Source organism: Homo sapiens, chromosome X (assembly GCF_000001405.40).
Source record: "Homo sapiens chromosome X, GRCh38.p14 Primary Assembly".
Lineage (NCBI taxonomy): Eukaryota > Metazoa > Chordata > Mammalia > Primates > Hominidae > Homo > Homo sapiens.
Window position 1 is genome coordinate 40738864 of NC_000023.11, and position 22836 is coordinate 40761699.

The 22836-nt window shown below is 41.2% G+C and overlaps 2 pseudogenes, besides 2 other annotated features; one reads left to right on the plus strand and one right to left on the minus strand.

Moving 5' to 3' along the window:
• Positions 10957 to 11036: an enhancer, noted in NCBI's record as "active region_29550". NCBI's record gives its function as "activates an Ori minimal core promoter by ATAC-STARR-seq in GM12878 lymphoblastoid cells {active_cell/tissue: GM12878}" and the evidence as "EXISTENCE:reporter gene assay evidence [ECO:0000049][PMID:35858748]".
• Positions 11107 to 11196: an enhancer, noted in NCBI's record as "active region_29551". NCBI's record gives its function as "activates an Ori minimal core promoter by ATAC-STARR-seq in GM12878 lymphoblastoid cells {active_cell/tissue: GM12878}" and the evidence as "EXISTENCE:reporter gene assay evidence [ECO:0000049][PMID:35858748]".
• On the plus strand, positions 19568 to 20226 carry DPRXP6 (divergent-paired related homeobox pseudogene 6; annotated as a pseudogene).
• CLDN7P1 (CLDN7 pseudogene 1) lies at positions 22050 to 22628 on the minus strand (annotated as a pseudogene).

Sequence of the window (22836 nt, forward strand, 5' to 3'; positions counted from 1 at the left end):
AATAAACATAGATATTGACCCTTCCAGTTTTAAAGCTTGAAACTTATATTTGTCTTAACTGAGTTCCTTCCTCGGGAAAATAACCTTCATGCCTCCCAGATAGTTTCAAGAAACTGAAACCAGGTCACCATATCTAGACAATGAGAAGCCAGGTCCCTCATCCTTCATGATTTCCTTACCTCTCCCTAATTCCTGTTTACCCACATGTAGTTACATTCCTTTCCCACTATATAAACCCCCAATTTTAGTCAGTCAGAGAGATGGAATGACTACTTCCCTGGCAACAGTCGTTGTCTCAGTGATTGGCTTTCTGTGCAGGGAGCAATGGGACCTAGACCAAACCCCTGGCATTTTGGTAACACTATCTGGTTGGGAGGTGGGATATCACTGCACTCAGGAGCTTTCATTTACTTTACCTCTCTGGTCTCCAATAATTCAAGCACAGTAAGTTTCATAGTCCTATTGCTGAATTTTCACCTTATTTTTCTTTAGAACATTCTTTTTGATAAATAGTACTTTTCCATTTTTAAAGATACCTATTCAACTCACAGAAATTTCAATAAACTCCCCATCTCCTGCCACTTATTCCCTTACTACACTGTAACTTCACTACATAGTACATGCCATTCCCTCCCACTGAAGATAGCTTGCATTATGTTGCAGATACTTGAAATATTGTTTCCTGGCTGGCTTCTCATCCTTCAAGTATCAGTTTAATGATAAAATCCTCAGAGAGGCTTTCCTGACTATATTACATTAGGCATGTACAAGGAACTTCATTGCAGCTTTATTTGTAGAAGCAAGAAAATATGAACAATCTTAACTGTCTCTCAGTAGGAGAATAGATAAGTAAACTATATTTTTGCCCAGGCATGGTGGCTTATACCTGTAATCCCAGCACTTTGGGAGGCTGAGGCCAGCTAATTGCTTGAGGCCAGGAGTTCCAGACCAGCCTGGCCAACATGATGAAAACTCCGTCTCTACTAAAAATACAAAAACAACAACAACAACAACAACAACAAAAACAAATTAGCTGAGCGTGGTGGTGCAAGCCTGTAATCCCAACTGCTTGGGAGACCGAGGCACAAGAATTGCTTGAACCCGGGAGGCGCAGTTGCAGTGAGCCGAGATCCGCCACTGCACTCCAGCCTGAGTGACAGAGCAAGACTCTGTCCCAAAAATAAAAATAAATAAATAAATAAATATATTTTTATGTAACTGTTCAAATGTATTACAGCTACGTAAACTGACATGAATACATCTTAAAAACAATACTGAATAAAGAAAAGCAATCTTTCTGATACCACTTGTGTCCATTTTAAAAGCACACAAAAGCCGGGCACGGTGGCTCATGCCTGTAATCTCAGCACTTTGGGAGGCCGAAGCGGGCAGATCACCTGAGCCCAGGAGTTCGAGACCAGCCTGGTCAACACAACAAGACTCTGTCTCTACAAAAAATGCAAGAAATTAGCTAGGTGTGATGGCATGCACCTGTGGTCCCAGCTACTCGGGAGGCTGAGGTGGGAGGATTGCTGGAGCCTGGGAGGCAGAGGTTGCAGTGAGCTGAGATCACACCACTGCATGCCAGCCTGGGCAATAGAGCAAGACCTTATGTCAAAAAAAAAAAAAAGAGAAAAGAAAAGCACACAAAATAATACTCTATAATTTAGTATATTGTGTAGTAAAAGTAAAAAATATAAATGGGGATGATATATACCACCTTCAGGATAGTAGTTACTTCTAGGGAGGGCTAAAGGATAAGATGATGCTTTATTGGTTACTAGCTATTTTATCTAATGGATTTCTGGAAGAAAAACATAAAGGAAATGTGACAATATTAATATCTATTAAATCAGGGGATAGAGATCTGATTGTTAATATATTCTGTACTTTTCAATATTTTTAAATATTTCATAATTTTAAAACATTTAAATTTAAATGTTTCTATCAGTATAATTTACACTAGCTACCATTACAAACTCCAAAATCTTGGTGACTTAACAGAGTAAGAGTTTATTTCTCATGCTCATGAATCTCAATAAAGATGTACCTGATGGGGATGGTCCTCTAAGTAGTAACTCGGAGACCCAAGCTTCTTCCATCTTGGGAAGCCATCACTATATGAGAATTTTTTTTGTGTGTGTCCACCCATGTTCCATTAGCCAGAATTAGTCATACAGCCCATTTAAAGGCTAGGGACCTGGAAAATATGGTCTTCTTGTGTGCTTAGGGAAGAAATGAAATAGTATGATGAACAGATAGCATTGTTTTTACCACAATATTAAAGTAGTCTCCTCTTTTTTTCCCCTTAGAGCACAGCCCCTGAAATCAGACTGCTTAGATTCAAATCCTAGCTCTACCACACACTATCTGAACGCTCTCCAGCAAGTTACTTTACTTTGCGTGATCTCAGTTTCTTCATCTGTAATAATACTGCTTACCTCAAAGGATGATTGTGAAGAATTAATGAGTTGACATGTGCAAAGGGCTTAAAATAGTAAGTGGTCTTCATCCTTTGATGATCAAACAGTAAGTGATCATCATCATTTAGGATCAGTAAGTCTTGTATTTGCTTATTCACCTAATAACCTGTGAACTTTCTTCTTCTGTCCTCATGTGGCTATCTTTCTGATCTCCCCACCTACCATAGTGCCTAGCTACCTGGCTTTAATGAATGAATGGGATGAATATATTTTTGCACCAACCTAATATTTCTTCATTTATATGCTATAGTTCTATTTGTATTACATTTACTTTTGTAGGATTAATATTGACTTACAGGCTGGGCGCAGTGGCTCACGCCTGTAATTCCAGCACTTTGGGAGGTCAAGGCAGGCAGATCAGGAGGTCAGGAGTTCGAGACCAGCCTGGCCAACATGGAGAAACCCCGTCTCTACTAAAAAAAAATACAAAATTAGCCGGATGTGGTGGTGGGCACCTGTAATCCCAGCTACTTGGGAGGCTGAGGCAGGAGAATTGACTGAACCCAGGAGGCAGAGGTTGTAGTGAGCCGAGATTGTGCCATTGCACCCCAGCCTGGGTGACAAGAGCAAGACTCTGTCTAAACAAACAAACAAACAAACAAACATTGACTTACATATATTTACATGAAATAAAGTGTCAGGATTTTTTTGTGGAGGGGAGAGGGGACAGGGTCTCACTCTATTGCCTAGGCTGGAGTGCCATGGCACAATCATAGCTCACTGCAACCTCTATCTTCTGGGCTCAAGTGATCTTCCTGCCTCAGCGGAGACTACAGGCACACATTACTGCACCCAGCTGATTTTTAATTTTTTTTTTTTTTTGTAAAAAGGAGGTCTTGCTATATTGCCCCAGCTGATCTTGAACACCTGGCCTCAAGCTGGCCTCAAGCAATCCTCCTACCTTGGCCTCCCAAAGTGTTAGAATTACAGGTGTGAGCCTCCATGCCTGGCCTCAGGATTTTTTTAAAAATGCTTCAGAAAAAAATGTTGGGGAGTTACATGAAATAAGATTAGCAGAATGTTGACAGTTGTTAAAGCTGATGATGAATACATGGGCGTTCATTATAGTCTTCTTTTCTGTGTTTCAGAATATACATAATAAAAGTTCAAAAAAAAGACTGGAAATGGGGAGCCAACTAAAGGCCCAGATCTTTTCTCTTTCCTAATGAACAGCCTTTAATATATATCTATTCATTTTCAGATTTAAAAATTTCTAATTTACAGAGTGTCTAACATAAAAAAGAAAACTACACGGAAACTTCAATTATAATTGCCTATGAAAGAGATAAAAGTGTCAAATATTTTAACAGTTTTGGTTTCAGGCCTTGAAAAGAATGTTTCTGAGGAACTCTTAAAAAAAACTTATACAATTTTATAATCTTAAAATTTTCTAGCTATGCTAAAATTCAGTGTCTTTTAAATAAATGTTTTCTAATGGGTGAACAAAAGAAGAAGAAAAAGAAGGGCATTACTAGAAATAGAAACGAGGAGGAGGGAAGGAGTCCATTTAGAATTATTATATTCTTCATTAAGAGATAAAAATCTTGTCTTGCCTTGTTCTCTTTGTTGGAGAAGAGCCCCCTCACCTCTGGAAGGGGCAAGGAGTAAACCTGCCATCCATAGCTGCTCAAAATAAACAATGAAATCAGAGTAAGACACCAGGGCAAATAGCAGGGGCATGAGCATGGTAGCTCTGGTTCCAGTGCCTCCAAGTCTCACGGAGTGTTGTGATGAGCATGGAGACTATATGCACAGTGAGTTGTGCCATAGCTAATGGAACCCAGGGCTGAGGGCTCCATGCGTTAATTCTTACCAGTCAGATTGAAGCAAAGTTGCCTTGGTGCACATATGAGGAAGGAGCTGAGGTGTCATGCACAGCCAAATAGTCATGTTATTGTGAGGGTGTCAGGTATGGCTAAACAGTGCTGCTATTGTGAGAGTGTCATGCACAGTGAAATAGTTCAGATCCTGCCATACCTACATGAGTGTTCTGTTTTTATAGCATGAGGATGGGGATGGTAAACCCAGCAGCAGCGTTGTGTTGCCAATTGCAGCTGCCGCCTGACTCAGGTGGACCATGTGATTGTTTTGCCATGCTGCAGTGCTACATCTAGGGGACAAAGAAAGCATTAAATGTTTCCCCCCTTCCCACACCTCCTGGAGACTAAGGTATTCCTTCCCCAGGTCCCAGGTTTATTGCTCTTTCCATATAGTCCATTTGTTTTAAATCAGTAGCCACTATTTCTCCTTTCGCCCAGCCATCCACCACCTCTACCCAGATGGACGAAGGCTCATGGGAACTGGGCACCATGGGTAGAACTTGCAACAGCCTGTGATGTCCTCTAACATTGCCCAAGCAGGCCACTGTAGGGATACTCTAGTGCCCATGAATTTCACCAACTATTATCCTCATGGCCAGCACTCTTCCATATCCAACACCTGAAACCAAGTCATAGCAGAAGCAAAAGGTTGCAGTCACCTTCCTCCTGTTGCCTAACCTTAGGCTGAAACCAGTCAGGCTTACCAGGCACTAAGGGCCAGTGGAAAAAAAGAATAGGGGTGGCTGAAGATTGTCAGGATGCAATCATAGATACATAGCACCAGTCTCCCATTCCTCCTACCCCTTCCATCCTGGCCTTCCCTAGGCAATGGGAAATTTTGAATATAATTGATCAGAAAACTCTTTCAGTCATGTGCATATTCTAGGAATATCTAGTGTAGGTAAATTGTCACACATGTCTATGAGAAAGAAAAAATTTAATAAACTATTTATTTCACTTAAAAATATAGAGACAAGTAAGTTTAAATAATAGCCTTTGTTACTGTAGTTACATCCAGTGAGGAGCGAAGGGGGAAGAGCCCCTCATAACCAGCAGATCTTGTGAAAACTCACTCACTATCACAAGAACAGCATGGGGGAAACTGTCCCCATGATCCAATCACCCCCAACTGGGTTCCTCCCTGGACATGTGAGGATTATGGGGATTACAATTCGAGATGAAATTTGAGTTGGGACACAGAGCCAAACTGTATTATTCTGTCCCTGACCCCTCCTAAATGTCATGTCCTTTTCACATTTCAAAACCAATCATGCCTTCCCAACAGTCCCCCAAAGTCTTCACTCATTTCAGCATTAACGCAAAAGTCCAAGTCTCATTTGAGACAAGGAAATTCCCTTCTGCCTATGAACCTGTAAAATAAAAAACAAATTAGTTACTTCCAAGATACAGTGGGGGTACAGGCATTGAGTAAATGTTCCCATTCCAAATGGGAGAAATTGGCCAAAACAAAGGGGCCACAGGCCCCATGCAAATCCGAAACCCGGTGTGGCAGTCATTAAATCTTAAAGCTCCAAAATGATCTCTTTTGACTCCATGTCTCACATCCAGAGCACGCTCATGCAAGGGGTGGGCTCCCACAGCCTTGGGCAGCTCCTGCATGGGCTGGCATTGAGTATCTGAGGCTTTTCCAGGTGCATGGTGCAAGTTGTTGGTGGATCTACCATCCTGGGGGCTGGAGAACAGCGGCCCTCTTCTCATAGCTAGCTCTGTAGACCCTTAAGATTGGGGATAGGACCTATAGTCTTAGTTTAATTTTGGACACACTTGTTTCCTAAAAGTATACTACAAAGTCTGATTATAAAATCTTCTGTTAGTATTTGTCTGGGTTACAGTGTTCATATGTGTGATCTTCAGAGTCTTAAATGATATTATTCAGTCACTGTCACATAAATTGACTCAAAAGTTCATCTTACAGTGAAAGAAACATGAAGGATTGACTTTAATCCAACTATCCGAATAGCCTTCCTATCAATGGAACTCAGACAGTGGCGCAGATCTGGATTTCACAAAATAATGTCCTGTGGTCCGAATTTTATAGCCCTTGGCCAAAAGAAAGGACTAAGAAAGTACAACCTAGCTCAGAGTGAGAAAGTGTTACAGAAATCTGTCCAGCCATTCATTAGACTGGAATAATACACAGATAAAGTCAGCTACACAGTTCAGTATCAGGGGATGGTTAGGCCTTAGTGTGGCACACTTAGCAAGACTGTGCAAAGATCTTTGAGACCTATGGCGGACTACCTCACCTGTAAACCAGTAGAAAGATTTGTACAGAATTCATTTTTACTTCCAGAAAAATTAGCCCATTATTTCTAGTGATTTTTGAAGAAGATAGAATTGAGCCAAAAGGGAAGGAAACTTCAAATTCTAGGATAAAAGTAAAGCTTAGAGAGAAAACAATGCTCCTGAAGAAAATATGGATTATAATTTTAGTTTTGCTTTGATATTTATGAAACATGCCAAAATTACTTCCTTTGGATGTTATCAAAAGGCATAAATGAAATGTGAAAACATTTAGGTCTGCATTAAAAAAATATAGGAGGAAAAATAAGAGGAAAGATTAGAGCCCTCCAAACCAGAGATAATAGGCTAAAATTTGAAAGAAAATATAAAATCAGTATATTTTAGACAATTAGAAACCTAAAAGAATAATTGAAATGCTAAGAAAAGAACAAGACAATATGACAAAAAGAAAAGACAGACTAGGGAAAAATAACCATAGAAATGTAAAGATTAAAAAATTCGGAATTGCTTCTGAAAAGCAATTTAGTGAAAAGCTAGAAAGCAGATTAGACAGCTAAAAAGAGAAGAAATAAACTGTACAATAGACTTAAGGAAATTTTTCAGAATGCTGTGACACGGAGTTACCCAAAGACTGAAAATATTAAACAAGTTAAAAAGACCTAGAAGATAAAACGTGTAAGGTTCAGAGCAGTGTTTATGGAATGCTATCTTTGATGTAAGAAAAAGGAAAATAATATGTATTCATATATTATTATATTACCATAACAAATTCAGAGGATACACAAGTAGTACATCTGTTTGAATGTGGTTGTGGTGAGGGAAATAGTAGATTTGGGCAAGGGTGGGACTGAGACTTGCATTACTGTATACATTTTATATTGGTTTAATTCACAAACCATGTCTGAGTCCTCTGAGAAGCAGAAGCCAACATGGGATTGGACATGCAAGGATTGATTGGAGAAATCCTCTGAGGGTAAAAGGGGAGGGAGGGATCCCCAAGAGGTGGGAAGAGGCTTCAGGCCACTCTGCAGGTCTGATACCAATGAAAGGAGCATTGCATAGGCAGAGTCTAAGACTGCATTGAGATTCTAAGAAAGGTTCGGCCAAGTTGATGAGGCATCCTGAAGCCAAAGTAGCCTGTCAGAGGAGTCACATGTCTTACAGGAATGGGTCTACCTTATTATCCCTGCCATGCGGAATCATTGACTGAAAGCAGCCTGTGTGAAGTGTGGTCTCCATGTTAACAGGCGGTAGATTCGTAGCGCAGCAGCTGAGGCCATCTGTCAATTATGCTTCCTGTAGCAAGAGATCTGAGTGGCGTATTTTCATAGCTGCCACACCATGGGACTACATTTTGTATTCAAAGAAGGGCAAAATAAAGACATTTTCAGACAAAGATTAAAGGAGCTTATCATTCACAGACTGTCACCCTGAAAACCTCTAAAGGATTCACTTTAGAAAGAACTGTTTTGAATCCTGAAGGACAGTGTAGGATGCAAGAAGCAATGGTGAGCAAATAAATTGGTAAACCTGTGGGAAAGAAGTTAGTAAATATGCAGATAAATCTAAATAGACATTGACTATTAAAAAAAAACTAAGAAAATGGAAAAAAGCAAGAAAAATGGCAATAATGATTGAGTATATTTTTAAAAGATGGAGTTAAAATATTAGCAATAACATGAAAAATTGGAAGGAGAAATTGGAGGTAGAGTATTTCAAGGTCCATGCGTTAGTCAGGGGGACAGTAAAGATATAGATTAACTTTATTTTATTTTTATTATTTTTTTTTTTTGGAGTCAAGGTCCCACTGTGTCACCCAGGCTGGAATGCAGTGGCACTATCACGGCTCACTGCAGTCTCAACCTCCGGGGCTCAAACAATCCTCCTGCCTCAGCCTTTCAAGTAGCTGGGACTACAGGCATGCACCAGCACATGCCACTAATTTTTTTGTATTTTTTGCAGAGACGGGGGTCTCACTATGTTGCCCAGGCTGGTCTCTCAAATTCCTGGGCTCAAGCAATCCTCTGGCCCCAGCCTCCCAAAGTGCCGGGATTACAGGTGTGAGCCACCAAGCCCGGCCAATATAGATTAACTTTAGATTTCAAACCAAGTATGCCAAATTTAAGAGAAACTACTACAAGAGCACAAATGGGTTATATGACTTCCAAGCCAGAAGAGGAAAAAGAAGAGAAAAAATGAAGCATGGCGAATCCAATAATTGGCATGAAATGAGGAGGAAAAAATAAAGCAAAAGAATGGGAAATAGCATAAATTAAGAAAAAAAGAAATACTAATATATCAGTAATCACTATAACTATGCATTATTTTATTTGCACTAGGGATATCCCCCTTGTAAAGAGACCAAATAAATTGCAGGTCAGTTCCTTTAACTCTTTCCTTCTTGCAAATGTGTGTATGGGCATGCATGTGCATGTGTACACACGTGTACATTTACACACATATTTGTTTCCACATCTGTCTCTCTCTCTCTCTCTCTCTCTCTCTCTCTCTCTCTCTCTCTCTATATATATATATATATATATATATTAAAGCCATGAGTTCATACTGATACCTCATATTTCAATCCAACACCAGAGGTTCATTCTAGTCTTCCCCCTTTCCATATTTGTAACTTCCTTTTCTGACAGTGAACAATCTGGCTCAATATACTTATTTGCTCAATCCTAGAATACATAGAAAGTCGTTTCAGAATAGATAATCTATACCATTGTGAAAAACTAGCCTTCTGGGTTTGGAGGACAGTGGCAATACTGCCTCATTCTGAATCTCCCTACTCACCCCTCTCTCCACAAATAAACCTCATGAAATAAAGCAACATATGACTGATATAGTTTAGCTGTGTCCCCATCCAAATCTCATCTTGAATTGTAGCTCCCACAATTCCCACGTGTCATGGGAGGGACCTGGTGGGAGGTAATTGAATCATGGGGGTGGGTCTTTCTTGTGCTGTTCTCATGATAGTGAATAAGTCTCACGAGATCTGATGGTTTTGTAAGGGGGAGTTTCCCTGCACAAGTTCTCTCTCATCTGCTGCCATGTAAGATGTGCCTTTCACCTTCCACCATGATTGTGAGGCCTCCCCAGCCACATGGAACTGTTGAGTCCATTAAACCTCTTTTTCTTTATAAATTACCCAGTCTCAGGTATGTCTTTATCAGCATCACGAAAATGGACTAATACAGTGACTTATTCCTTCATCAGTATTTGGTAAAAGAGAATATTCTGATGTTTAAATTACTTGTAAGCAAAGAAATAAACCAAATTCTAATAGAGCTCCTGCCATCTGCCTGCTGCTGCACGCCTGTGGGTGCAGAGTGCAGAGGAGAAGAGGCGTAAAGAAATGCCATGAAAAAATATAGTGGGGCATAGAGGACTTGGATAAGGCACGGACAAAATAACCCTTAGAAAGAGAAAGCCAGATAAGATAAATGCCAAAATATAGAATATAGGTCAGGATATGGTAAGTTCATGTTAGTTTGTTATGCAACGATAGAAAACGAATATGGATTTTAGTACCTGAAAGTGTGGTGCTGCTATAAGAAATACTTAAAAATGTGGAAGTGTCTTTGGAACCAAGTTTGAAGAGGATTTTGTGGAGCATGATAACAGCCTAAGTTGCCTTGAACAGAATGTTAGTAGAAATATGGACTATGGGAAGGCGGCTGGTGAGGCCTCAGAAGGAAGTGAGGCTCATGTTATAAGAATCTGGAGGAAGTGAGATCCTTGTTATGTATTGGCAGCAAGCTTAGCAAAACTGAAACTTGTGTCCTGCAGTTATTTGGAAGGTAGAATTTGAAAGCAATGAACTCACATATTTAGCTGAAAAGATTTCCAAGTAAAGTTGTTTTTGCTTGTTGTTTTTTTTTTGGTTTTTTTTTGTTTTTTAGAGGCAGGGTCTCCCTCTGTTGCCCAGGCAGGAGTGCAGTGGTGCAATTATGGCTCACTGCAGCCTCAAACTCCTGGGCTCAAATGATCCTCCTGCCTCAGCCTCCTGAGTAACTGGGACTACAGGCACGTGCCACAACACCTGGCTAATTTATTTTTATTTTTATAGAGATGGGGTCTCACTGGATTGGTCAAGTAAAGTGTTGAAGGTGCCATCTAGTTTCTTCTTGCCGATTATAGTAAAACCCAAGAAGAGAGTGACAAATTGAGGAAAGGACTGTTAAACACAAAGGAATTGGGTAATTCTCAGCATATCAAGATTGACGAAGACACTAAAATTAAGAGACAAAAGGTTAGAGTATTTGATCACAAGAGGTTTATGCTGTGCCTCACAGATCTCATTCAAATCAGTGGCTTCTAGGAAGCTTAAGGGTGTCCCTGAGCCATCTCAGCAGCAGCCAAAGCTAGAGAAGGAATGATCTCTACCAGATTTGTGGACATGGCTTCTGTTCAATGTAGTGAATTCCTATGACATCCACTCAAAGCAGACAAGGTTCTTGAGAAATTTGTATCAGCAGAAATACTGCCAGCTTGGACTGAAAGTGACAGAGTTTGAAGTGAAAGGAAGCTGTCAAACTCCCAGAATTCCTCTGGCAGAAAGGAGGTTGATAAAACTACTCAGCTGTAAACACATTCTACCTTTCATGAAAAAAGGACGGCTCAGAGAGAGGAACTGAAAGCCCAGGGGGCACAGGCGAGAGCCAGAGGGCAGAACTGAAAGGCACGTGGAATTATTTCCAAGTCTTGAAACCCAAGGGAGTTTCCCAGCTTTTAAAACTGCTTTGGACTGGTGATCCTTTTTACCTTCCATTTTCCTCCCTTTTGAACTAGAATGTCTGTAACTCTTACCCTATGCCTGTTCCATCATCATGTGTTGGCAATAGATAACTTGTTTCTACAGTTTCATAGGTCCACAGATGGAGAGAAATTGTGCCAGGCGTCTCACCCACACCTAATCTAAGTGATTTGATGATGAGATATTGGATTTTTGAATTCATGAGATTTAGATGAGAGTTTGGACTTTGAGTTTAAGCTGTAATGGTATTGACACCCTTGGCAAATTTGGGAGAAGGTGAATGTATTTTGCATTTAGGAGAGACATGAATCATTGGGGGCCAGAGGGCAGACTGTGGTAAACAGAATTGTTCTTTTTATTTTTTTATTTTTCTTTTGAGACAGGGTCTTGCTGGGTCGCCTAGACTGGAGTGCAGTGGCGTGATCATAGCTCACTGCAACCTCGAACTCCTGGGTTCAAGTGATCCTCCCTCCTCAGCCTTCTGAGTACTGGGACTACAGGCATGCATCAACACACCTGGCTAATTAAAAAAAAAAAAAAACTGTAGAAACAGGAGTCTCCCTGTGTTGACCAGGCTGGTCTCGAACTCCTGGCCTCAAGTGATCCTCTTGCCTCAGCCTCTCGTAGTGTTGGGATTACAGGCATGAGCCACCTTGCCTGACCTTGATGTTTGATATATGTTTACATTGTGGAACGATTAAATCAAGCAAATTAACAAATTCACCACCTCAACTACTTAAACATCTCCGCTTTCCATGTCTACCCCTCTCCTCCAGCCTCTGGGAATTGCCATTGTACTCTCTACTTGTATGAATTTGACTTTTTAAAATTTCACATGTAGGTGAGATGGTGTGATATTTGTCTTTCTGTGCCTGGCTTATTTCACTTAACATAATGTCCTCCATGTTCATCCATGTTGTCACATGTGACAGAATTTTATTCTTTTTAAAGGCTGAATAGTATTCCATTGTGTATATATACCACATTTTAAAAAATCCATTCATCCATTGATGGACACTTACCTTGCTTTCAAATCTTACCCTCTGTGAATAATGCTGCAATGAACATGGGAGTACAGATATCCACTTTGACATACTGATTTTAATTCCTTTGGATTCCTTTTTTTTGAGACAGAGTCTCTCTCTGTCACCCAGGCTGGAGTGAAGTGGCGCGATCCTGGCTCACTGCAAGCTCCACCTCCTGGGTTCACGCCATTCTCCTGCCTCAGCCTCCCGAGTAGCTGGGACTACAGGCGCTCGCCACCACGCCTGGCTAATTTTTTTGTATTTTTAGTAGAGACAGGGTTTCACTGTGTTAGCCAGGATTGGATTCCTTTTAATCCCAGTAGTGGGATTGCTGGATCATATGGTAGTTCTATTTATTGTGGGGCTTTTTGAGGAAATTCCATAATATTTTTCATAATGGCTATATTAATTTATATTTCCACCAACAGTGTACAAGCATTCCCTTTTCTCTACACCCTTGTTAACACTTATTATCTTTTGTTTTTCTGATAATAATTCTATTATCACCTATTCTATTATAGATTTCATGATATTCTATCATATCACCTCACATTCGGGTGTAAGATGATATTTCCATTGTGCTTTTAATTTACATTTCCCTGATGATTAGGGATGATAAGTGTTTTTCATATATCTGTTGAACATTGGTGTATCTGTTTTTGAGAAATGTCAAGTCATTGGTCCGTGTTTTAACTAGTTTGTTTTTTTTTCTTGCTATTGAGTTGTTTGAGTTCCTTATTTTGGATATTAGTTTCTTGTCAGATGTATGGTTTGCAAATATTTTCTCCCAGTCCTTGAGTTGTCTCTTCATCCTGTTAATGGTTTCCTTTGCTGTGTGGAAGCTTTTTAATTTGATCCAATCCCATTTGTTTATTTTTGCTTTTGTTGCCTTTGCTTTTGGGGCTATTGTGGAGCATTTCCCCCATGTTGTGGAGCATTTTCCCCCATGTGTTCTTCCAGTAGTTTTACAGTTTCAAGCTTTATGTTTAAGTCTTTAATCCGCTTTGAGTTGATTTTTGTACATGGTATAAGAGTCCAAGCTCATTTTGCATGTGGATGTCCAGTTTTCCCAACACTCCTTATTGAAGAGATTGTCCTTTCTCATTGTGTGTTCTTGGCATCTTTGTCAAAAATCAATTGATTGTAAGTGCTTGGGGTTATTTTTGGGCTCTATTCTGTTCTATTGGTCAATGCATCTTTTTTAATGCCAGTACCATGCTGTTTTGATTACTACAGCTTTGTAATAGATTTTGAAGCCAGGTAGTATGATGCCTTCAGCTTTTGCTTTTGATCTTTGGGCTCCAGTTTTTTTGCTCAAGATTGCTTTGGCTATGCAGGGTCTTTTGTGGTTCCATACAAATTTTAGGATTGCTTTTTCTAGTTCTGTGAAAAATGACATTGTAATTTTGATAGAGATTTAACTGAACCCATAGATTGCTTTGGGTAGTATGGACATTTTTTAACAATATTAATTCTTCCATACATGAACATGGGATACTTTTTCATTTATTTGTATCTTTTCTATTTCTTTCATCAATGTTTTATAGTCTTTAGTGCACAGACCTTTCACCTCCTTGGTTAAATTTACTCCTAAATATTCAATTTTTTGATGCTATTGTGGATAGCATCAAATTTTCTTAATTTCTTTTTCATATAGTTTATTTTTAGTGTAAGGAAAGGCTACTGATTTTTGCATGTTGATTTGGTATACTGCAACTTTACTGAATTCATTTATTAGTTCTAACAGTTTTGGCATGAGTTTTTTGGGTTTTCTTTATGTAAGATTATGTTGTCTGCAAACAGGGGCAATTTAACTTCTTCCTTTCCAATTTGGCTGTATTTTATTTCTTTCTCTTGCCTCATTGCTCAAGCTACGATTTCCAGTACTATGTTGAATGGAAGTGGTGAGAGTGGGCATCCTTGTCTTGTTCCTGATCTTAGAGGAAAAGCTTTCAACTTTTCACTGTTGAGTATGTTAGTTGTGGGCTTTTCATATATGGCCTTTATTGTGTTTAGGTACGTTCCTTCTATGCCTAATTTGTTGAGAGTTTTTATCATGAAAGGATGTTGAATTTTCTCAAATGTTTTTCCTTTCTGCATCTATTGAGGTGATTGTATAGTTTTTGTCCTTCATTCTGTTATTATGGTTTATCACATTCATTGATTTGCAAATGTTGAACCATCCTTGAATCCCAGGGATAAATCTCATTTGATCACGGTGAATTATCCTTTTAATATGCTGTTTAATTTGGTTTGCTCATATTTTGTTTAGGATTTTTGCATCTATGTTCATCAGGGATATTGGCCTGGAATTTTCTTTTTTGGTAGTGCTATTGCCTGACTTTGGCATCAGTAATGCTGGCCTCATAGAATCAGTCTGGAAGTATTTCCTCTTCTTCATTTTTTTGGGAAAAAGTGTGAGGAGGATTTGTATTAGTTATTTAAATATTTGGTAGAATTCGACTGTGAAGCCATCTGGTCCTGGGCTTTTCTTTGATGGGAGATGTCTTATTATTGAGTCAATCTCATTGCTTATTATTGGTTTGTTCATATTTTCTGTTTCTTCTTGATTCAGTCTTGTTAGGTGTATGTTTCTAGGAATTTATCCATTTCTTCTAGGTTAACCAAATTTTTGGCATATAACTGCACATAACAGTCTCTTATGGTCCTTTGTATTTCTGTGACATCAGTAATATCTCCTCTCTTATTTCTGATTTTCTTTATTTTAGTCTTCTCTCTTTTTTTCTTAGTTGGTCTGGCTAAAGGTTTGTCAATTTTGTTTACATTTTCAAAGAACCAACTTTTAGTTTGGTTGATGTTTTCTATCATCTTTTTAGCCACTATTTCATTTATTTCTGCTCTGATCTTTATTATTTCTTTCCTTCTACTGATTTTGGGCTTAGTTCGTTCTTCTTTTTCTAGTTCCTTGAGGCATAAGGTTAGGCTGTTTATTTGAGATTTCTTTTTTTTTTTGATGTAGGCATTTGTTGTTACAACTTCCTTTGGTGATGTCTGTGTAGCCTTGCATTTGAAGGAGCAAACCCTTCTTTCAGTCTTTACAGATACATTTTGGCAAGTTAAAGTGTTCTCCTGTTAGGTATTGTATTAGTCCATTCTCACGTTGCTATAAAGAAATATCTGAGACTGGGTAATTTATAAAGAAAAGAGGTATAGTTGGCTCACGGTTCTGCAGGCTGTACAGGAAGCATAGTGGCTTCTGCTTCTGGGGAGGCCTCAGGAAGCTTCCAATCATGGCAGAAGGCAAAGGGGGTATGAGGTGTCTCACATGGTGGGAGCAAGGAGCAATAGAGAGAGGGAGGAGGTGCTGTACACTTTTAACAACCAGATCTCATGAGAACTCTATCAAGACCATGAGGACGGTACAAAGGGGGATGTGCTAAACCATTCATGAGAAATGCACACCCATAATCCAACCACCTCCCACCAGGCCCCACCTCCAACACTGGGGATTACAATTTGACATGAGATTTGGTGGGGGTACAAATCCAAACCATACCAGGTATCTGGGTTGATGAGATTGCCTCCAGGATCCCAGTTGAGTAGGGTTGAATCTAGATCATGTTGCTGGTGCCGGGTCTGCAGTGGAGACCAAAGTTAGTGGGCATGGGTCCTATATGGTTCCCTAGTGGAGTGGACTATTTCCAGGATCTTGGTCTGTGGGGCTGGTGCTAGGATGAGGATCCACTTCAGGATTCACAGATGGCAGGCCTGTTACCAGGTGCACTGATGGGTGTGGCTTCCTCTGTGATTCTGAGAGAGCTGCTGTTGGATCACTGGATGAGTCCCTAGGCTGGCCATATTGCTCTGGTCCATGGCTGAGAGGGGCTAGAACAGAGACACAGGATTGTTTCAGGGTCCGCAGCTGAGATCGAGATCTTCAGTCCTGTCTCCAGGGTCAGGGGTGGGTGTGTCTCCCGGTGGGCTTCTGGGTGAGCAGACCTGCCATCAGACTGCAATTGAGAAGGGCTGGAGTCTATTTATAGGGCTGTTTCAAGATCCACAATGAGATCGAGGTCAAGGAATCAGCCTTCAGGGACACTGCGAGACATGCCTCCCTCCAGGACCAAGATCCAGGGACTCAGAAGGGCACGTCTCCTGGCGGGATCCCAGCTGGGCAGAACTGTTCCCAGACCACAGCTGGGAGGGGCTGAAACTGAGCTTCAGTGCTATTTCAGAAACTGCTGTGTGACTGATATTGGCAAGCCCAACCTGGTGGCACCATCAGGCAAGACTCCCAACAGTTCCCTATGTGGGAAGGATTGCTCCAGGACTGCAGCTGAGAGGGGCTGGAGCTGAGATTCAGGGCTCCTTTAAGAACCACTAGGAGACAGAGTTTGGCAAGCCTGTCCCAGTGTGTCTCCCAGCAGTTTCCTGCATAGGTGGAATAGCTCTGGACTGAAGCTGAGACAGAGCCTTTTCAGGGTCTGCTATGGGATGTAGGCTGGCAAGCCTGTCCTGGTGACATAGACAGTCACGTCTCGCAGCAGTTCTCTGTGCTTTTGGGTTTGTTCCCAGACTGGGCTAGAGTCAAGCTTCCGCGCCCCTTCAGGATCTGCTGTGGGAAGGAAACTGGCAAGCCTGTCACAGTGGCTCAGACAGGCTAGTCTCCCAGCAGTTCTCTGCGTGGGTGGAAATACTCCTGGGCTGTGGCAGAGAGGAGCTGGAGCTGAGACAGGGCCCCTTCAGGATCTACTATGGGATGGAGGCCAGCAAGCCTGTCCCAGTGGCACATATGGGCAAATTTCCCTCTGGGTCCTTGTGCAAGTAGTACTAATCTGGGACCACTATTGAGAAGGGCTGGGGCCCAGTTACAGGATAGCTTTTGGGTATACTACCTAGACCAATTTTGGCAGGCCTGTCTGTTGAGGCACTAGTGTGCCTGATTCCTCCCAGACCCTTGGCAAATGGTTTTGGTAGCAGGCTCAAGGCCAAATGGTGTTGTAGCCAAACCCTTAGAAGAACAGGGCTATTTCCAGGTATGAAGCCAGGATAGCAGTCAGCTGGTCTGCCACCTAGGTATGGGTCTGCACTCTCAAAATGACCCTCCTAGGTCTTGGGCTCCACTGGGTTTCACAACTTCCTAACTGTATCCCAGGGATCCCACAAAGACACTTTTGTCTGTGGATGGGTACAGAATTCTTGTTGTGGGAGGATATGAGCGAGGGAACCTCCTATTCTGCCATTATTGCTCTCTCCTGTTTCCTGTTACAAGTTTTTTAGCTTAACCTTTTATATTTAGGTCTCTATTCCATTTTGAGTTAATTTTTGAGTATGGTATGCATGTAGATATCCAATTTTCTCAGCACTATTTGTTGAAAAGACTATCTGTCCTTTCCCCATTGAAATGCCTTGCACTTTTGTCAAAAGCCAATTGACCATAAATGTAAAGGTTTAGTTCTAGATTCTCAATTCTGTACCTTTGATCTGTATGTCTGTCTTTATGCCAGCACAACACTGTATTGATAACTGAGCTTTGTAATAAGTTTTGAAATTGAGAGGTAAAAGTCCTCCAACTTCGTTCTTCATTTTCAAAATTGTTTTGGATATACTGGATCTATTTCATTTAATTTCAGGATCAGTATGAAGTCAGAAACTGTGAAGGGTCTGAGATTTCACCCTACTTGCAAACTAACAAATTAGTTTGTGAACAGTTTCACATATATATGCTGACAGAAGATATCAGACCCCTGTGTTAAGGACAGATGGTTTATAACTCATGGCAAAAGCAGCATCCGGAGTACCAACTCACTAGTGCCTAATTCCCCACGCCCCAGTTCTCCACAGGGCAACACAAATGAGAGCCAGATGTTTACCTGCATAAACAATGGGTTTCACCATAGGAAAAAAAATCCCCAAATTAGGAGGCTCTGAAGTTATGTAAGGTTTGCTGGCACATCTGCCCATCCTCCCCTTTAGGAAGGGAGAGATAATGACTTTATCTTTTCTCTTGAATATAAACAAATCTTCACTGGAGAGGGGAGTGGAAGGCCTCTAGGTTTATTATCCTGAAATGTAAGCAAATGTCTACTGGGTATACACAGCTCGAAATCTCTAGCTTCCAAGGCCTTTGCCATTCAAACATGCTCTTTGTTCAGAAGACCTGGACTGTGTGGAGCTGTGAAATATTCATGGAGAATTGTCTCCCAGCAATCAATTTGTCAATTTCCTCAAAAAAAATCTGTTGGAATTTTGATAGAGATTGTGTTAATCTACAAATCAATTTGGAGAGAATTGCCATATTACTGAGTTTTCCAATCTATGATCATGGGATGTCTCTCCACATATTTAGGTCTTCTTTAATTTCCCTCATCAGTATTTTTAAATTTTCAGTGTACATGTCTTACACTTATTTTGTTAAATTTATTCTTAAGTGTTTTATTCTTTTTAATACAATCATAAATGGAGTTATTTTTTAATTTCACTTTTGGAATTTTTATTGCTCATAGTAATACAATTGATTTTTGTATACTGACTTAGTATCTCATCACTTTGCTGAACTTATTAGTTCTAATAGTTGTGTGTGTGTGTGTGTATAAATTCCTTAGGATTTTCTACATGATGATCATGTCATTAGCAAATAAAGACAGTTTTACTTTTTTACAATCTACATGCTTTTTAATTTTTTTTTTTTTTTGAGACAGAGTCTTGCTCTGTTGCCCAGCCTGGAGTGCAGTGGCGTGATCTCAGCTCACTGCAAGCTCCGCCTCCCGGGTTCATGCCATTCTACTGCCTCAGCCTCCCGAGTAGCTGGGACTACAGGCACCCGCCACCACACCTGGCTAATTTTTTGCATTTTTAATAGAGATGGGTTTTCACCATGTTAGCCAGGATGGTCTCGATCTCCTGACCCTGTGATCCACCCGCCTTGGCCTCCCAAAGTGCTGGGATTACAGGCGTGAGCCACTGCGCCCAGCGATGATTTTTAATTTTTTTGCTTGATTACACTAGAACCTCCAGTACAATGTTGAATAGAAGTGGCAAGAGTGGGTATTCTTGCCTTCTTCCTAGTCTTGGAGGCAAACATGCAGTCTTTCATGATTAGGTATGATGTGAGACAGAATTAGGAGAAATCCAGGGGGCTCTGGAGGATCCAGGGATCAGATTGGAGGCAGATAGGGCAGAAACAGTTGGAAGGGGGTGGGAATCAGGTGTGGCTGTGGAGTAAGCTATTTAAGTCCGGATTCAGTCTCTGCTAGTTCTTATCACTGGACCTGAATACAGGAGCACATCTGGATTAGAAGATGTCAGACTCAGAGGATCTTCCCAAAGGCAAGCACCAGATGCATTCACGCAGGAAATGAACCATGTTCACTGAGAAGCTACTGGAAGACTTGAACATCTTTTTTAATGAGAACCTATACCCAAACCCCAGCCTGCAGTGGGCTTCGAAAATTGACATACATCCAACAGTACTGGAGGTCTGGTTCGAAAACCACAGAGCAAAACTTAAGAAAGCAAAATGCGAGCATATTCAGCAAAAACAAGAAACTCAACAACCATCAATACCAGAGGGTGAAGTCAAGACTAGTGCTGGCCTGAGAAATACACACACGGTACTCAGATTCCCCAATGCTGTTCATCCTGTCGGCCTGGTGTATATGAATCTTTGGACACCCTTGTTCCAACTCATTCTGTACCCCAACCTTAAGGTCCCTACAAATGACTTCCCTGGCCAAAAAATAGTCCATTTTGGCTGCTGCCAAGATCCTAACATATACTGCCTCTAGCCCGTTTTGGAATCCCAAGTTTGTTCTCCAAGCTTCAATTCTAGTTCTTCTGCCTGTTCTCTCTACGAAGTCGAGAGAGATGCTAAATACAAAAAAAAATATTGTAAAAACAAAACAAAACACTTGTGGTTTTTGTGGATACTCTTTATCAGGTTGAAGGTTGAAGAAGTTCCCTTCTAAGTTTGTTGAGAATTTGTGTTATGAATTTGTATTTTTCTGTGTCTATTGAGATGATCACATGGCTTTTGCCCTTTATTCTATTATGTTCATTTCCACATGAATTTCATTTTCCTGAACTTTTACAAGGGAAATATAGATTTTATAACTTTATGACTAGAGCTCTCCTGTTGTTTTTGTGAAATGTCAAAAAATATGGTGGCTTAATTTCTGAGATCTCCAGACTCTGTTCCCCTCCCCTACTTTTTCTGGCCCTGTTCTTTCTTTCGTCTCTATTGTCACTTTAGATTGATCAGCAAGTCTCCTCAGTGTGGATCTTTATCCTCAAAGGATGCTTTGGCTGGTTAGTTCTAAGAGCTTATATGACCCAGACTATTTTAGATCTCTTATATCTTATTGCAGACCATTGCTATGGAGGTTTACCCCTACAGTTTTAGTTCCTGTTCTCACTTTGGCTCTCTGAACTTTCAGTGAGTACCTTTTGGTTATTTTGTTGTTCCCAGGTCAGTGAGATGCCCTGTTGCTTCCCTAAGCATGTTTCTGTACAGATGCCAATACCATAGGTATTGTAGCTATCACTGGTCCATCCCTACTTGCTCATATATATCTTTTTACTCTCCAAAACTTATTTTTTATTACTATACAAAATGTGCACTCTCCTCTCTTTTTGTGTCTCCCACCCCACCCCCCAGAGAACAGTACATGGTGTGCAGGGATGGAGTGACCAGGAGGCTTTTATCCTGCACCCTGCCCACAGGCTAAGCTCTGCCCCAGGTCTTTTCAGGCATTTAGATACACCCGTAGCCTGTCAGGCTGGGGCAAAGGTGTCCCAGCTCACATGTACTCCTTGGCAGAGTTGGACTTAGAGTAAGAGTGAGGTACACAGTACCCAGTTTTGCTCTTATTCCCAGAACAAGAGCAAGAGAATAGTACACCTCCTAGGGGGGTCAGAGAAGACTCTGCCCAGCCAATAAAGATAGCAGGACCAGACTCATACCTAATATTCAAGGGGATCAAGGGGTTGTAAAAGTCCGTGACAATCTGATGGCCATACCAGAAGAAAGCTACCAAGTCAGCAAGACCTGCCATGATGAAAATGACACCTCTAATCATGCCTATACTGCTATAAAGAAATACCCAAGACTAGGTAATTTATAAAGGAGAGAGGTTTAATTGACTCACAGTTTAGCATGACTGTGGAGGCCTCAGGAAACTTACAATCATGGTGGAAGGGGAAGCAAAGACCTTCTTCACATGGCGGCAGGAGACAGGAAGCATGTGAGAGAGCAGGAAAAACTACCATTTATAAAACCATCAGGGCCAGGCACAGTGGCTTATGCCTGTAATCCCAGTACTTTGGGAGGCTGAGGTGGGTGGATCACCTGAGTTCAGGAGTTCCAGACCAGCCTGGCCAACATGGTAAAACCCCGTGTCTACTAAAAATACAAAAATTAGCTGAGTGTGATGGGGGATGCCTGTAATCCCAGCTACTTGGGAGGCAGAGGCAGGAGAATCGCTTGAACCTGGGAGATGGAGGTTGCAGTGATCTGAGACCATGCCATTGCACTCCAACCTGGGCAACAAGAGCGAAACTCCATCTCAAAAAACAAACAAACAAAAAACCATCAGATCTTGTGAGAATTCACTCACTATCATGAGAAGAGTGTGGGGGAAACTGCCCCCATAATCCAGTCATTTCCCTCCCTCAACATGTGAGGATTACAATTCGAGATGAGATTTGGGTGGGGACACAGAGCCAAACCATATGAGCTATACAGGCCTTCTTCACTTTGTCATTTCCCCCACAACACATGCACTTCATGCCCATCGTGGCCACACACATATGGTCAGGAAGCCCAGCACCAGGTATGCCACCATTAGGGCTCAAAGGTCCTGCATGGCTGCTGGCAGGGTGAGCACCAAGTCATACATTTCACAGCTCATCAAGCCCATGCTCTGCATGATGTAGTCCATCCACAGTCCCTTGTACATGGCCTGGGCTGTGATGATGCTGTTGCCCACACATGAGCTCATCTGCCACTGCGGGATGGCGGTGCAGGCCACAAGGCCCACCCAGCCTAGCAGAGCCACGGAAAAGTTCAGCAACTGCAGGCCCAAATTGGCCATTTCCACTCTCAGAAAGAAACTGGGGGTGCTGGGCAGGCAACCCTACAGTAAAACAAATAAAACTTTGGGGCATCCCCACGAAAGACATCTTGGGGTAGAGTTTTTAAGTCATCCAAAGAGACAAAGAAGTTTTTGGCTGGGTGACCGCAAATCTTGTCACCCGAAGTACACACAAATTGACCCCTCTGGTGAAGTGATAGTCTCACAGCACAGGGAACAGGCCCATATTTTGTGTTTTGAGGAAAACAATTTATTGTCTAGCTTCGTTGTACAAATAACTGTTACTTTAAAAGAAAGCTAACAGCTGGATAAGTTGAACATGAAAATGGGAAACCAAAGAACAAAAGTGAGGTATGGCAACCCCTGGGACTATGATAGGAGTGTGTCGGGGGAGGGGGAATCACCTTTGTTAGATCACATCTTTGCACC